General features: G+C 37.1%; 1 protein-coding gene across 6 annotated transcripts in view; it reads right to left on the bottom strand.

The window, feature by feature from the left end:
* Positions 1-2,758: 2,758 nt before the first annotated feature.
* Positions 2,759-17,748, bottom strand: part of DTWD1 (DTW motif tRNA-uridine aminocarboxypropyltransferase 1) — a 35,185-nt gene continuing 20,195 nt past the window's right edge. For 4 of the 6 annotated variants that reach the window (XM_017022426.2, XM_047432881.1, XM_017022425.2 and 1 more), the window contains one exon: positions 2,759-5,113. In XM_017022426.2, coding sequence (XP_016877915.1) covers positions 5,100-5,113 — 14 coding nt within the window. In that variant the 3' untranslated portion in view covers positions 2,759-5,099. Of the gene's footprint in view, positions 15,661-17,748 lie in introns of all 6 variants that reach the window. The other 2 variants (NM_020234.6, NM_001144955.2) reach the window with 1 other exon arrangement.

Raw genomic sequence — 17,748 nt, 5'->3', positions numbered from 1 at the left:
GTCTCGAACTCCTGGCGTCAAGTGATCTGCCCACTTTGGCCTCCCACAGTGCTGGAATTACAGGTGTGAACCACTGTGCCTAACCCTAAATATATAAATTTTTTAAAAGTAAGCTAAGAGCTTTAAAAAACTTCTAAATATATGACTGGCTCATCTCTTGACATAGAAAGAACCATTACTTTATGTATTAAAATTGTAGTCAAAGCAAAAATTTTTATAACTACCAAAATACTTATTTGGCCAATAACCTAAAATCAGAAGACTGATAGGAATACAAAAGATTTACTGAAAAAAAAAGATTGATTGCACTATATTCCTAGATCAAAAGAAAATGGAGTTTGTCATTATTCTAGCATGGACTGGAAAATTAGACTACAAATATGGATGCAGCAGAAGTGTTTCTAAGATGGAAGTTTAAATCAATAAACATTTACATCAAAAAGAAGCTAGATCTGAAACAAACAACCTAAAGTTACACCTCAAGTACTAGAGAAATAAGAACAAAGCCCAAGGTTAGCGGAAAGAAGGAAATAATAAAAATCAGAGCAGAAATAAATGAAATATAGATTATAAAAACAATAAAGATGATCAATGAAACCAAAAGTTGGTTTTTATAAAGATAAACAAAATGGACATATCTTTAGCTCAACTAAGAAAAAAAGAGAGAAGACTCAAATAAGAAAAATCAGAAACAAAAGAAGAGACATTACAACTGATCCTACAGAAACAAAGTATCATACAAGAAGGCTACCGTGAACAATTATATGCCAATGATTTGAATTACCTACAAGAAATGGATAAATTCCTGGACACACACAACCTTCCAAGACTGAATCATGAAGAAATAGAAAATCCAAACAGACCAGTAACACATTAGGAGATTGAATCAATAATAAAAAGTCACCCATCAGGGAAAAGCCGAGGACCTGTTGGCTTCACTGCTGAATTCTACCAAATATTAAAAGAAGAACTAATACGAGTCCTTCTCAAACTCCTCAAAAATTTGAAGAACAGTGAATACTTCCAAAGCCAGACAAGAGCACTACAAGAAAAAAGAAACTACAGGCTGATATCCCTGATGAACACAGATGCAAAAATCCTCAACGAAATACTAGCAAACCAAATTCAACTAAAAGGGTCATTCACCATGACCAAGTGGGATTTATCTGAGGGATACAAGGATCATTCAACAAATGCAAATCTGTAAATGTGATACACCACATTAGCAAAATGAAGGACAAAAAACATGATCATCTCAACAGATATAGAAAATGCGTTTGACAAAATTCAACATCCTTTCATAACAAAGCTCTCAACAAATTAAGGTATAGAAGAAGTGAACCTCAATATAATAAAGGCCATATGCAACAAACTGACAGCATATAATAGAATTAATGACTAGATAATGAAAAAAATCAGTCAACTACCTGGTTTCTTGATATGGTGCTTATGTGTTATTCAGATTAACTATTTTCAATAGTTGCTTCAAGTGATGTTAGCTGGGGTTGCTCTTATGGCTGAGTTCACCTGTTAGCTAAGCTGAACGAGCAAGTTCATGAAGGCTTCTCTTACCTGGCTGGGGCCTTGGTGTTGACTGGGGTACTTCAGTTATTTCCCTTCTTTCCTTGGTGTTAATGACTGGAGTACTTCAATTATTCCTTCTCTTTCCTATGTGGCCTTTCTTTCCTTGTAGTGTCTCCAGGGACTTGCCACATAGTCCTTCTCTCCAGCAGGATAGCCTAGATTTCTGAAGATGCCATCTTCCAGCTTTAAATATCTCTGTGCATTGATTTCATCTTAATTTACTTTTGGAATAGCTTCTTAATTCCCATTGTTCAAATAAACTGAGGTGTCCAAGCTTAAATTTGGAAAACATTTTTAACTTTCAAAAATAGTTTCCAAAAATAACAAAGACTTCTGTCTTTTAAATACAAACAACATGTTTTCAGGGAAATGTGTCTTGGAAGAAAAAAAAGAAATTATTTTCCCTAAGATTACAAAACATTAGGCCACTTGGTTCAGCCAGGGTATTTGCTTCCTCTCTCCTTCCCTCCCTCCTTTCCCTTCCTTCCTCCATTTCTCACTCCCTCGCTCCCTTCTTTCATTCCCTTTTATCTCCCTCCCTGCTTTCTTCCCTTCTTGCCTTCTCCTTCCCTTCCATTTCCCTCCCTTCCTTCCTCCCTCCCTTCTTTTTTTCTTCCCTTCTTCCTTTCTTTCTTTCCTTCTTCCCTTCCCTCTGGACAAAGTGCATGAAAATCAGAATGTATTGTGCATTGAAGTATTAAAAATTTCTCTAGAGTTGCCTAAAATATTTGTGAAATATTTGCTTGAGAAACTGGAAGGGAAAAAAATGTTACAATAGCAAATATTTAATAATACAAAAAGAGACAGGAATATATATCACTGTGACTGTGAAAAAATCCTCTATAATAAATGATAAGAATATTAGGTAATCTCCGAGAATATAATCAATCTAGATTTCCTTTAATTTTTGTTTTAGAATCCATTTTACTTGGACCTAAGAATCCTTGAAGGCAACAAACTAATTTATTTTTCAGAATCAGGGTGGTTATAAAATTTCAAAATATATCATCAATTAAAAAATAAATAATAATCAACAATTAGAAAAATTGATTCAATAATTTAGATTCTATTTGCAGCATTGCCAAATATGTATGTTTGTTTTTAAAAGTTGACATTGATAATAAAATTATAAACATTAAGGTCTTAGTGTTCGAGGTTAAAGAAAGAAATATTCTTTTACAAATATTTGAATTTTTATTTAATTTACAGCAAAGAACCAGGTGCAATCAACACTTTCATATAGGACAAACATAAAGTATTTCTTGAGCTAACAGTTAGCCTTCACTTTTAAAAGTAAAACCAGAACTTTTATTCATCTTTCTTTCTGCTTCAGAAATTAACAGCTGCTCATTAAATATTCATTGATGCTTGTTGTAATTGTACTGTATTTCACTAAATAAATGTTTATAACACATTTAACCACAAAATAGATATCACCTCTAAGTTTAACTTATATTCATACTAAAATGTAGTATTAATTTTTCAAAGATTTTTATGATGGGCCTAGAGAGGAAGGTAAATTATGTAGATGGCATATCTTCCCATAAACTTAGTGCATACCTAGAATACTCTTGAAGTATTCTCTACTGTTTTCTATTCCCAACTTCAGCCAGCAAAGTAATTTCCACATCATAAATGATCTCAGGGAAAAGATGAGAAAAGCCGAACGTGCCAACAGTAAAACGTGGTCCCAGAGTGATAATAAAATCAAAGGCTGTAAGATCCTTTGTGAAGACTTTAGAATGACTTCAAGCTATACCTCATCGGCCCTGTAGGCTAGATAATCTTTTGGGAATTATCTATAGCACCCCAATTCTTAGCCAAAGGTAGAAAGGGAATGTCTCAATATTTATAGAAGTTGCTTTTGTTCTAATGGGGTGGACTAATCTGATATAAAGGCTCACAGAGTTTTAAAGAAAATTGCATTGATGAGGATACCACCAGCATGGACTAAAAAAAACACGGGAGTATGAAAAAAAAATAGAGGTACGTAGGCCCGATTTTCTACAGGTCTTTTCTTCATAAGTCTTTCTTTCTTACCCCCTCTTCTACTAACGAAAAGACTGTTGTATCAGTTATCAATTGCTATGTAATAAACCACCCCAAAACTTAATTACCTAAATCAACCATTTTAAAATTTCTCATTTCTGTGTACTGGCTGGTGGTTCTTCAGCTCCAGATGGTGTTACCCAGGGTCACTTATGTGGTTGCATGCAGATAATGGCTAAGCTGAGTTAGAAGGTTCAAGTTCTCTTTGTCTGAGGACTTGGTGCTTTCTATGCACTGAAATTCATATGTTGAAGCCCTAAACCTCAATGTGCTAGATTTGGAGGTGAGGACTTTGGGAAGTAATTTGGTTCCAAGAAGCCATGAGGTTGAAGACCCTCCATGATGAGATTGGTGCCCTTATAAGGGGACAAAGATACCAGAGTTCTCTCTCTCTGCATCATGTGAGGATATAGCAGGAAGATGGCTGTCTGCAAACCAGGAAGGGAGCGCCCACTAAACACCTAACCATGCTGAAACTCTGATCTTGGATTTCCATATTTTCAGTCTCCAGAAATGTAAGATATAAATTTCTGTTGTTTAAGTCACTCAATCTATGATATTTTTTGTTACAGTAGCTCCAACTGACTAAGGCAGTGCTATTGACTGGGACGTCTCAGTTCTTCCTTAGGTGGCCTTTCTCTCCACTCTTACTACACTGTATTTTCAGGTTCCACAATCTCATTTTTTTAAAGAAAAAAAGTCACTCAATCTATGATATTTCTGTTATACTAGCCCAAACTGACTAAGGCAGTGCTATTGACTGGGGCATCTCAGTTCTTCCCTAGGTGGCCTTTCCATGTGGTGTCTCTAGGGACTCACCATGTCCCTAGAGATATGGATATCTCTAGAAGGATATCCTGGAATTCTAATATGAAGGTTCAGGAGAGTGAAAGTGAAAACTGCCAGACCTTACTTTTACCACATTTTATTGGTCAAAGTGAGTTAGAAGGCCAATCCAGATTAAAAGGAAAAGGAAATGGACTCTACCCTCTGAAGAGAGGAGTCCAAGGAAGGGAAGGAATTGTTTGAGGGACATCTTCAAAAACTATCACAGTCTGCCCCCGGCCACAGTTCTTGTCTCACTAACATGCAAAAATGTACTTACTCTGTACCCTAAGAGTCTCACTCCATTATGGCATAAGTTTAAGTTCAGAATCTTATCATCTAAACCATGTCCAGATACAATAAACTTCCTCAGTTACTGTTTCTCAAGTGAAGATGCTTGAGAGTAGCTTGTCCCAGTTAAGGTTTTCTAGGATAGGAACACCACACAGAGACTATCATTCAAAAAAGGAGACAAGGAAACAGGAAGCATAAAATTAAATTGTTTTCAGGGTCCCCCTACACCAAAGGAAGAGGCTATTCCTTGATTGTGGTTCAGTTCATCCCTCTGGTAGTGGTTTCCTAATCCATTGCTCTCCTTGCTTCTTGGCTCCTCCCTCTGGGATTTTGGCTCCATCTTCCATCTATTTTTCCTTTTCTATAAAAAAATGACAAGTACTAGGTTGAAAAATTTCCTCTAAATTCTGCTTTCAAATTGAACAGTTCCTTCTTTAGTTCACTCAGTAAATGTCTTCCTGTACATTATGAGATGCAGCCATAATAAGTTCATCAGTACTTTCAACATTCACCTGGAAATCTCCTTAAGACATCTACAAGCTATTAAGTTTCATTTTCTGTTCCACATTAAGACAAGCAAAATTATTGCTAAGCATTCTGTCAATGCATAACTCAATCCTCCATTTATTTCAATAATTCAATAATTTATTTACTGCCTTCCCATCCTCCAGTAAGAGTTTGTTCACTATTCTTCAAGGCTTAGCTGGCAGCTTCTTGCCACATGTATTATAGTGTGCTTAAGCAACACAATTTATTCTTATATAGTTCTGTAGAAGTCCAACACAAAAATCTCACTGATCTAAAATCAAGATGTTAGCTGAACTGCATTCCTTTCTGGACACTCTGGAAAGAATCTGTTTCTTTGCTTTTTCCAGCTTCCAGAGGCTGCTTGGGGCTTGTGGTTCCTATCACTCACCTGTAAAGCCAACAATAGCAGGTTGAGTTCTTCTCATTTCACATCATTCTGACATCCTCTCATGTATCCGTCTTCCACTTTTAAGGACTCATGCTTATATTGAGCCTACCTAGATAATTCAGGATAATCTCTACATTTCAAAGTGCTTAACTTAATGACAGAGGCAAAGTCCTTTTTACCATGTAAGGTTTAACCTTTTGTTATGGTAACACCCCACTCCTGATACCAATTTCTGTTATCTATTGCTGAATAACAAACTACTCCAAAATGTCATATGCTGAAAAAAAACTGATTTGGGATTTCTCAAAATTCTGTTTAAACTCTTTGATTTTTTGCTTCCCATGGGCATTAAGGTAACTTTGGCAGCTACATTCAGCTGGACTTCAGTCACCAGACATGGGAAGGGTATGACCTCAAGCACAGTGTCCTTCTGCAGTTGAAGCAGACTCTGAAGGAGCTGACAGTTGGAGGCTGCTGACCTCATTCCTTGCAACTGGGAGGTCAGTCCTTTCTTAAAGTGAATCAGGCAGTGTATCTCTTTGCTTATTACAATCCACCCTTTGCTCCACATAGATCTATGTCTCCCTGTATGCTTAGGGAGCAGTTCCTAAAGGAATCAAGAGACCTCTTTTCTTGACCTCTCAGAAATTTAGAAGATGGGAGATTAGTGGGACAAATTACAGTGCTTGCTGCTGCAGTGGGGCTTGGGAATGCCATCAATACTTGTCACATCCCCTCATCCTCCACTATCAATTCTAGATTTCCCTCAGCCTCTGCTACCACCTCTGCTGCTCCTGGTGGTTTATCTGGTATAATTCAGACCCACATTCCTTGAGAGGCCTGAGTTCCAGGCCATCATGCCCTTTTGAGGATGGGTTGCCACACCTACACATTAGTCTCAATTTGGTAGGTTTATCACTTGGGCACCACATTTATTACTTCTGCCCAGATTGTGTAACCAGGATTCCAATCTCCTCTTGATTAGGGTCAACTGATCTTGACTCCTTTTATTGGCTGCTGCTCCCTAGACAGACACAAGGAACCGAAAGTATCCAGGTAGCTGCTGCAGCTTATGTTTTTCAGTGAGATTTTTTATATATCTCTCAGCAAAACTGTGTCCCCTTGTGGGACCAAGACCTCTCACTGCAGAGTTCAGAGTTATGAAGAGGTGCAAAGTACCATATGGGTCATTAAAAGTGATGGCACGGAGGGGAGGCACCTCTTCTTCTACTCTCTTTGCATCTACCCCTAGGAATAAATGGGTTCCAAGACCCATTTATTCTTCATATTGGGGCACATGCTATATAAGGATAATTGATCCAGTACATACTCTGTATCTTGGAGTATGGCATCCTATCCTTGTAGAATTTGCCTATGAGCTGGTGTTCAGCTGTACCTTCAGCAGGTTGTTCCAATGTTCTATCAAGCTGACAAATTCCAAGTGGTGAAAAAAGTGATATTATTAGTGGATCCTGTGGATATGGGTCCACTCCTGCGCTTGGTTTTCCATAAAATAGGTTTCCGGATCTGATATGATATAATGTGAGATCGCATGCTGGTCAATACAATACTAAGTAAACTCAAATGGTGATACTGACTGAGGCTCTGCAAAGAGGAAAAGCAAACTCCTATCTGGAAATTGTGTCTATTTCTATGACAAGGAAATGCTGGTCCTTCCAGTGTGGAAGGGGCCCAATGTAACCAACTTGATATTGAAGAATGGTATTATATCAGGGGTGCAGTATTGTCTGTGTTGCTTGTAGGTTGGACATTCAACAGCAGCAGCAGCTAAGGCAGCCTTGGTAAGTTGAAACTCAAGCTACTGAACCCTATGCTTAGTCTTCATCCTTTCCACAGTGGACATTCCATTCATGTGCCCACTGTGCTAGCACTGGGTGGCGAATAACTGAAGCAGGAAGGATGACGTCAACTAGGCAATGTGTTTAGTTTGCTTTATTGTTTAGAGACTCTTCAGTACTGAATGCTCTCTGGTGGGCACTGCACGTAATACAGAGACCTTCACAGTTCATGTACATACTTGACACAAGTATGTCCATTCACATGCCTCTATTCTAGACTTTCTGTGCTTGATCTTCCAGTATTTATTCTTAAGGACAAATACCAGTTTGGCTACTTGGACTATTAAATTCTAGATGAGATTTGTATGCAACCAAAGAAGCCCTCTTTCTACAGAGCATTAGTGGCACTTGGCCATTCAATTCTGTTATTCTTAAATTTACTATTTCCTTCATGAGTCTCAAATACCTGATATACTGCACTTGCTGGCACATTCTCTTCCGTGGGTAAATCTTCTCATTTTACCACTAATAAAAGTTACCACCTTGAGCCATGGGCTTTTGTTCCATGTGCCACATGTGATGGGATTCTCATTGGCAGCTCAGATCACTCCTACTAACAATTACCACAGGTCGAGTCCTCTAAAGAGGAATGCTGAGATGGAGTTTGGGGTGTAAGATGTTTATTAGAAAGTGTCACCTTTCAGGGGAAGGGGAGGAAGCAGGATTGGGCAGAAGAAGAAATTAAGTTGTAATAGAGGGAGCTCTGAGGAAGGTTTTGCCTGACAGTGTAATAAATGAGGCTGAAGTAGCAAGGCCTTACATCTCCACTGAGGGCTGCCCTGAGATCTAAGACGAGGGTAACCTCAGGTGAAGCTTTTTCTATAGCTGTTGCAGATGAAGTGCTGATACTGGTGGATTTCTGTTCTTCACACTCCCTGCAGCTAATTAGCAAGTCCTTCCTAGAAGGGGGATATAGGCAGCACATTTTCATATCTACCACAATGTCTAAACTATCTGCAAATACTGGCTCTACCTTAAAAATACATGCAGGATCTTGTCATTCTGTACCACTCGCCCATGATCACAACCCTTGTCCAGGCAAATATCATCTCTCAAATGGACTACTGAAATAGCATTCTAATTGATCTTCCTATTTTATTTCTTACTCTCTTGCAGTCTATTTTTCATAAAGAAGCCAAATAATCCTTTAAAAATATAAGTCAGATCCTGTCACTCATTTGCTTAAATTCTCTGATGGCTTCCTATCTCATCACTCAGAGTAAAATCTTAACATCTTACCATGGCTCCACACCATTACTCCCTATGATGTCATCTTCTATCATTTTTTCCCTCCCACACACTGTTCCAAACTAGTGTCCTTGTTATTCCTCAAACATGCCAAGTATACTGCTGCCTCAGTACCTTTGTGTGTATATATATATATAGACACACACATATTGTTCCCTATAATTAAAACATTATTCACTTAATTATTCGCATGGTTCACTCTCTCTCATTTAGGTCTCTGCTCAATTTTACCTTATCACAGGCTTTTCCATCTGACCATGCTATTTAAACTGGCACCCCTTTCCTGCACCAGTCACTATCAGTTCCTTACTCTGCTTTATTTTCTTCTTAGCACTTACTACCTCGGCATGCTATAGCCATCACCTAGACAATAATTTGACACATAGTATGCACTCAAAATTTTTTAGAATGGATGAATGAATCCTGAAACCCTGAAACTTCCCTTTGCTGACTTTTTATTTTTTTATTTATTTTTTTTGAGACGGAGTCTCACTCTGTCACCCAGGCTGGAGTGCAATGGCACCATCTCGGCTCACTACAACTTCTGCCTCCCAGGTTCTAAGTGATTCTCCTGCTTCAGCCTCCCGAGTAGCTGGGATTACAGACACATGCCATCACACCCGACTAATTTTTGTATTTTTAGTAGAGACAGAGTTTCGCCATGTTAGCCAGGCTGGTCTTAAACTCCAGACCTCAGGCGATCCACCTGCCTTGGCCTCCTAAAGTGCTGGGATTAGAGGCGTGAGCCACCGCGCCTGGCCTGCTGACTTCTTAATGCTCTCTTTTTTGGTTTTTGGTTTCCTTCTCCGTTTTACTGGAAAACATCTTCAGTATTCTCCTAAGCATCTTTATCTCAAGAATATATGGGAGGTAATACCTTTGAGACCTTCTGTGTCTTTATACTATATTCATACTTGATTAATTGCATGACTAAAAATAGAATCCAAATAGAAAACTATTTTCACTTAAAGTTCTAAAGGCATCACCCCATGTCTTCTAGTTTCCAATGTTGTTAAGAAGTCCTTTAATATCCTGATTATTGGTCGATATACGACCTATTTCTTCTGTTTGAAATCTTTTAGTATTTTCTATCCACAGTGTTCTGAAATTCCTTGATGATAAGCCTTAATGTACATCTTTTTTTTACTCTAATGACTTAATGTCCTCAATTTTAGAAATCACAAATTTTTTTCCACGCCTTTCCCATTCTGTTACTCCTATTATTCAAATGAAGGACCTCTTAGATTGGCCCTTAATCTTAAGTTTTTTTCCTCCTATTTTCTTTGACTTTCTGAGAGATCTCTTCAAGTGAAAATAAACAAACTTCAAGCTGGGGTCAGAAATGACCTTTCGAAAGAAAGCCAAAATAAGGCCTCGTTGTTGGATTAGCTAGTAATAGTGGCAGAACTGCTGAATAAAGAGTGAGGTCATAGTAAATCAATCAGCTAATTGCTGGTATAAACATTACAGCACAGGTCAGTGAATTTTCTCCATCAAACAAAATATTCTGTAATATATAATGAGATAAATATGATTCACTATAACATATAAAATAAGACTATAGTTGTCAGTGCCTCAAGGGAATACAAAAAATGTCATAATTAAAAATAATTTAGGCTGGGTGTTGTGGCTCAGGCCTGTTAATCCCAGCACTTTGGGAAGCAAAGGCAGGATCACTTGAGGTCAGGAGTTTCAGATAAGGCTGGCCAAACATGACAAAACTCCATCTCTACTAAAAATACAAAAATTAGCGGGGTGTGGTGGCACATGCCTGTGATCCCAGCTACTCGGGGGGCTAAGGCATGATAATTGCTTGAACTTGGGAGGTGGAGGTTGTAGTGAGCTGAGATCGCACCACTGCACTGCAGCCTGGGAGACAAGAGTGAGACTCTGTCTCAAAAATGAATAAATAATAATTTGGGGAGAAGCGCTTTGGCTCATCTCTGCAATCCAGCTAGAAACTCAATGTCATGATGATGATATGCAGTGTATATAGAGCTTAATATACAGTGTATGAATAGACTTTCATTCCATCTACCTAATGCTCATTATTTTTTGTAAACTTAAGTAGTTGGTATACAAATAATCTCCAACCTTCTCCTTTACAACCAAGGGTAATAGCTGTTACAAGCTCTATTGCCTTTCCTCTTAAGGTTTTTAATTAAATACAATGTAACATGTAGCCTATGGTTGCATTTACAACTTTTAACTAAGATTGGCCTTAGGTATTTGGAATTCAGAATTTTCTATTCTTATGCTATATTTTATCTTCAACTCTTATATTTAATTTTTATTTCAGCAATCACTTTTTAAATTTCTGAGATCTTTTTTATTGCTTGTTCTTTTTCACACTCTCCTATTCTTGTTTTGTGAATATAATATACTCTTATTTTGAAGACAGTTTTTTTTTTGTTGCCATTATTCTCCGTTTGTCTATTTCCTTTGGATTTTCTCCCCTCCTTTTCCCCTTTTATATTTGAAGGATTTCACCAAGTGTCTAGTGATGTTTGGCTCTTATGTATGGGTGGTGATTTTTGGCTGGTGGCCTTCAATGTAGGGTCAGTAAGTGTTTGGTTAAAGTTTTCACTAGGGTCTTTTAATTGTCAGTATTTGGAGATAAAAAGTTGCTATAATTAATGCTTCCAGTAACATGGAAGACAAAAAATATACCTAATGCATTCATGGTATTTGGTGATGTTTCGAGGCTCTTAGGTACCTTATCTATTGTACTTAATAACAGTCAGCTTATTCTGTCAAAATGAGAAATGTAAGAAACAGACAAGCTCAAAATTAAGGCAATGGGTATGGAAATGGAACTGAAATGAAATACATAACCTAGGATATGCAGAACTAGAAAATAAAATTGTTTCTCATCAAATAAAATGTGATCATTAAAAACAGCCTAGTACAAAGACCAAATCAAGGGACTGCCATTAACATGGCCTCAAAGAAAAGAACAAATAAAAGGTGTGGCCATTTACTCCTTTTTAAGACTTCTGAAGGGATTTAGGGGGACCTTCAGGATGAACCAAAGGGCTCCTAGAAAGATTAGAGGAATGAGACACTTGATATGCTTAAGATATACATGTTTCTACAAATGAAGTCATGAGTACTTTGAGAATCTCCGGCTGACCTAGTTAGTCACTGCTTCTCTAAATCTCTTCTGCTGCAGCCTTCCAGACCTTTATTACCCCAGTAATTCTCACATTGGGGTAAACCTTAATTTCTTTACTAAACTTCTTTATTCATGTAATACTTGTAACGATGCTGCTTTTCTAACTAAATCCAGACTAAAACACCTGACTTCCCTAGAAAAAGAGACCCTAAAGGAAATATATCCACTACTTTATTAAAGGTACAATCCAGGCTGGTAAGAGCGAGGAAGAAAGGAAGTGAGGCTGGCAATAATGGGAGGCAAATGCAAACTGATAAATTACTGTGTAGCACTTGCTGCTGTTTCATGAAAAGCCATGAAGAGACACTGCCAATCATGTGGCAAGTACACTTGCTTGGCCACAGAGTACGCTTCTGGACAGGCAAGATGAAAAACAGTGTCTCTATACAGTCCATCAGAAGAAGAGCAATTTACCCAGCAGCTTTTTCTAGTCCATTGATCCAAGTTTTTCAGACAGTTAACTTCACAAACCTACCAGACTACATCGCCTAGCCCTTTTAACAGTCATTGTGGCATGGGGTTTTTAAAGCACAGAAGTGTTGTTATAGGCCAGGGATTCTGAACATATGGCTAATTGATCTCAAGCAGAGGAATCATACAAACCTGCTGGTAATCTGTTACTATATGAGGTGGTAGCTAAGGCAAAGCAAGTGGTCAAGAGCCCAAGAAACATGAGACTGAGAATCTTCTAAGGTACTTGAAGAAGATGATCTGATAATGCATCCAAAGATGAGATATCTATAGCCACAATAAATAGCTATAAGACATTGGTGGCATAATAGACATTCCTTGCTCACATGTTTGGAATCAGGTAGGTGTCAGTTAGATGACTCTGCTGATCTTGGCTGGAATCATTCACATATCTTGGGTTTGGCTGGCCATCAGCCAATCTAGACAAGATTCAGTGAGGGTGACCAGGGCAACCTGGCTCTGTTCCATGGAGTCTCATGCTCCAGCAGGCTAACTCAGCCATGCATATTCTTATGTCAACAGCAGAAGCACAAGTGTAAGTAAAAATGCACTAAATCTCTGAATGCAGATGACCCAGAATCACAGTGGGGGGAGTACTTCAAAGGAACCTGAAAAATGACCATGAATACAAGCAAGGATAAAGAATTAGGGCCACTGTTACATCTATCACACCAAAAAAACAAAAAACAAAAAACAAACAAAAAAAACTAAGACAAGTATAGTCAATTCATTGTTCTAATAGGTATTACTAACTTCTTTTGAAAAGAACCTGAGATTTTATCTGGCCTTAGCTGTAAATTAGGCTCTTATGAAGTACGTGGGTCATCTTTCTTATGCCAGCTGAGAGATGGAGGCAAATGAGTGATAGAATTGTTCTCTGTCTCTCGCTTTTTTTTTTCTTTTCCCTCTGAACTGTTATGTTTAGTTGGTTTGTAAAGCCAGTTAAATGCAATAGATTTTGGCTCAGGGAAGTCCAAATTTAGCCTAGAGAAATCCAACTTTGGCCCTGCTTAAATCAATTCAAGCCTTCCTCTATTCCCAGGGCCAAGTTCTAAACATGAAAAAAAAAATCTATTTTAATTCCATTCTTGTAGAATAACTGCTAAAATAAGCAAGCCAGTTAGTTTATTTGGCTAAGACTGTAAGACTAATAATGTTCAAGCCTTATATAATCCACATTCCTTTTTATGAATAGCATAATATAATGGTGACCTTACTGAACCAAACCAAATCAGAAGTTCCAGATTCTAGAACAGGCTCTGCTACTAACTAGGTGTATGATCTATCAATAATTTACTTACCTCTTTAATTCTCAGTTGCCCCATGTATATTAATAGGAATTGTTCTTAATTACAATACTCCAAACGTCCTATTTCCATGGCATGTTAATAGGTGCTACATATTCAAGTAAGTTTAAGATATATCAGCTTAAATAAAGTTCAAAATGTTTATTTCAGGACTTTTCAGAACCTTTAATATGTTTTGCCTTCTGAATCCCTGGGAGGGAAACAACGTAATGTACAGCAAACTAATTTCACCAAGAACTCTTTCCCCCATAAAACATCATGTGTCCCACTGTATATACTTCAGGAAATGTGCTATTATTTCACCCAAACAGGTGAATTTATCAGAGTCCCCAAAAGAAATAGAAGGCTATTTCAAGTGGGGACATTTGAGAAGAGTGTAATAAAACAACTACAGTATTTACAAATGTATGAGCAGGGTTTAGGTAAAGCAACAAGTTGTAGTGAACTATACTGGGGCTAGTAATAACTGTAAGCTATTACCAACCCTAAGTGAAAAGGGGTAAAGGGAGGGAGCAGGAACTAAACCTAGTGAGGTAACTGGGGTAACTGCTTGGGAACAGAAGAGATAGGATTCCTGATAAGGTACTATTTAGTAGAGGAACACAGCCAACTGATGATGACATGGCAGGAAAGGAGCCAGGGAAATAAATAACATCATTTCATTTTCCTCTCAACTTCTAATCTCCCACTGGTGCTTCCCATTTGTTGAACCCAACCAAAAGCAAGAGAGCAAAGGAACCTACCTCACAGAGCAGGGAGCAGAATAGAAAAGAGCAGACAGAAGCTATTCAGCACAGTAGGGCTCTATTCACAAGCAGCTAGGTCTAGGTAAATAAATGATGTCATCAGGACTCAGTCTCTCTTTTTCTCTCCACTCTGCTTTCCTTCGCTGACTTCATTCTAAGTCAGGCTCTTTTCACCTGGCAGCAGAGATGGCCACTAGCAGGTAGGCTTCAATTATTATCAGTTCACAATTCCAAATAAAATAAAAAGAGTAAACATATATGTAACACTTACTATATTTCAGGTACTGCTGAAAGCCCCTTAGATATTAACTCAGTTATTCCTATAAGGTAGTTGCTCAGTATTGCCTGCTTTGTACAAATGGAAGAAAATGACATGGCTGATAAGCAGAAAGGCTGAGATTTAGATTCAGGTAGTCTAGCTCCAGAGTCTCTGCTTTTAACAACCTTAGGACTTAAAGAAACAGCCCTAGATACCAGAATTCTAATTCTAGTTCTGCCTATGTTTGCTACTAACCTCAAGAAAAATCACTTATGACCTATTTTTCAGCCAGCAGATTGTAACCCCATTTACTTCTAAAGGTGGTCATGAGTACAGGTGAAAAGATATAAAGATGTTGAAATAAATAGCTAATTAGATCTAATGGAATATGTTATATCTAATCACAGAGACATAACACACTATATTAAAATGTAGTAATGAAACTGAGGTTTCACTGAGCAAATAACTTCTGAAGTAAGTTTTTCAATCAACAGTATCTCTGAAAAATTCCCCCAGATACAATTTCCTTCAAGAAATATGAAGTGATATATATGAAACTGGAATTTTTTCAAATGGTCTTACAGGCATTATATATGATTATTTCTTAAGAAAAAACAAAGCACAAATATAAGTTTATTAATGTTAGCAAAATAAAAAGACATAAGTGGCTTGTTAAAAACTAATGTGTAAGTTTTCCTGTTTCCTTATCTCCAGAGCATTTGGCATTCTTTATCAACTGGTACATAAAAGAATAGAAAAATAAAAGATTGTCATATTGCCCTCTGTATTTCTCTTTTAATATATCAGTATGGTAGTCTACCAGAAAGTAGTAAATGGCTTCAATTGTAGAAAGGAAAGTATCTGGCTTTCCTTTTTGATGGCGCCAAAAGCAAGTTTTTCTTGTTTTCAACTCAACTTGTAACAACCCTGTCAAAAAAAAAAAAAAAAAAAGAAAGAAAGAAAGAAAAAATATAAATATTTCTTCTTAACCACAGGCTTGGTACAATAATAATGATTTCTCTTAATTATTCTAAGAATTTTTTTTTAAAGACTGCAGATAACTTCCTTCAATCCCAGTTTGAAACAAGATATTTTCTTAAACACCTCAAGGTATATACAGAAGCAACATAAAACAAATAATAAAATCTTATACATGACAGTTAACACTGAGTCTTAGACCAATGAATTAAAAGTAGTTAACATTTAAGATATTCATGTCTTCCAATCTTCTATGTATCAGCATCTTCAAAAATCTAAATCTCTGACAGGACTGCATTCACCAATTTTCAGAAGGGTTTCATTTCCTTGACAAACTGACTTTTTTGTTTATTTAGAGATGAGGTCTCACTCTGTCACCCAGGCTAGACTGCAGCAGTGTGATCATAGCTCACAGTTACCTCAAACTCTGGACTCAGTGATCCTCCCATCTCAGCCTCCCAAATAGCTGGGACTACATGTGCACACCACCATATCCAGCTAAGATTTTTTATTTTTATTTTTTTTTAGAGACAGTGTCTTGCTATGTTGCCCAGGCTGGTCTCAAAATCCGGGGCTCAAGTGATCCTCCTGCCTTGGCCTCTGCCTCTCAAAGTGCTGGGATTATAGGCATGAGCTACAGTGCCCAGCCTAAACTAACTTTTAAAATATCATTCTGAAATTCACTGAGAGATAGGCAGCTTAATGTTCCTTAATACTGGTAAAAGTTTACTTCTTGATTATCATTTTCAGGCTATATTCATGAACAGAGTATCCTAAAGCTGTGGTTTCTTTTGTTTGCTTGTTTGTTTTAGCTCTGTCACATGTATGCTGCAGAGCTCAATAACACAGTCAGGTAGAATGCCTTGCTCTTGTACATTTAAAAAGGGAATAATTAATGCAGTCACACAACAGTACTCTCATTTGTTATAACTCAGCTGTCTTCATACAAACCCAGAATGCTTTTAGCTCCTTAGGCCAGTAACTGGACTCATACTATATTTAATTTTTTGTTTTTGCAAATTTTATTTTAAAGTGAGAAATAAAAGAGAGAAGGTAGCATCAAAATTGGCCCAATGACCAACTGGAATTTCTAAGTCACTAATGATTTCCCACTGTCACATCCCACTTTTACTCAATGTAAAATGTAGCAGAGACAAGAAATAAATAATAAAAGAAATACAAAAATATTCAGAGATATGGAGGATCAAATGACTAACAGGAGTTCGAGGAAGAGAGAACAAAGAGAATGGAAGAGAGGGAGCGGTTAAAGAGATAATGACTATGACTTTTCCAGAAATTATTTTAAACTATAAAAAGCCACAGATACATGAAACATCATGTGTCTCGAGCAGGATAAATATAAACAAATCAGTGCCTAGTTCTATTACATATTTAACTGAAAAACACCAAAGATAAAGAGAAGATTTTAAAAGAAGCCATGGAGAAGGGACAGATCATATACAAAGAAAAGGTAATTAGAATGACCAAAGACCAAAGACAGAATATTGAAGACACTAGAATAATATCTTCCAAGTGTCAAACAAACAAACAAACAAAAAAACAGAACTGGCAACCTAAAATTGTGAACCCAGCAGAACAACCTATCACGAAAAAAGTGATAAACATTTAATAGACAAATGAAAACTGAACATACGCCAACAAGAGACCAAATTAAAGGAATTCCTAAAGGATGTATTTGATAAAACACTGAGTAAAGAAAATGGTAAACATCTATGCAAATCCAGATAAATGTTGCCTGTATAAAACAAAAACAATAATAATATCTAATTTGTAGACTGACAATAAACGACAGACAAAAATAATGATATTAACAATAACAATGTGAACCAGGAGGAGGCTGAATGAAGCTTCAGCATACAAAGTCCATACAATGTAAAAAAGGAGAGGTTAAACATTGTTTGGCTTTGAACTTTTTAAGTGATATGGGCAATTCTCTAAAATAATTGAAATAGGAATAAAAATAGAATAAGAAAAAACCTCAATCAAAAAAAGAAACAAAAATTATAAAAAAGGACA

This window comes from Homo sapiens, chromosome 15 (genome assembly GCF_000001405.40).
Source record: "Homo sapiens chromosome 15, GRCh38.p14 Primary Assembly".
Lineage (NCBI taxonomy): Eukaryota > Metazoa > Chordata > Mammalia > Primates > Hominidae > Homo > Homo sapiens.
The sequence above is the reverse complement of the archived record's forward strand: the minus strand, read 5'-3'. Positions and strand labels throughout refer to the sequence as shown.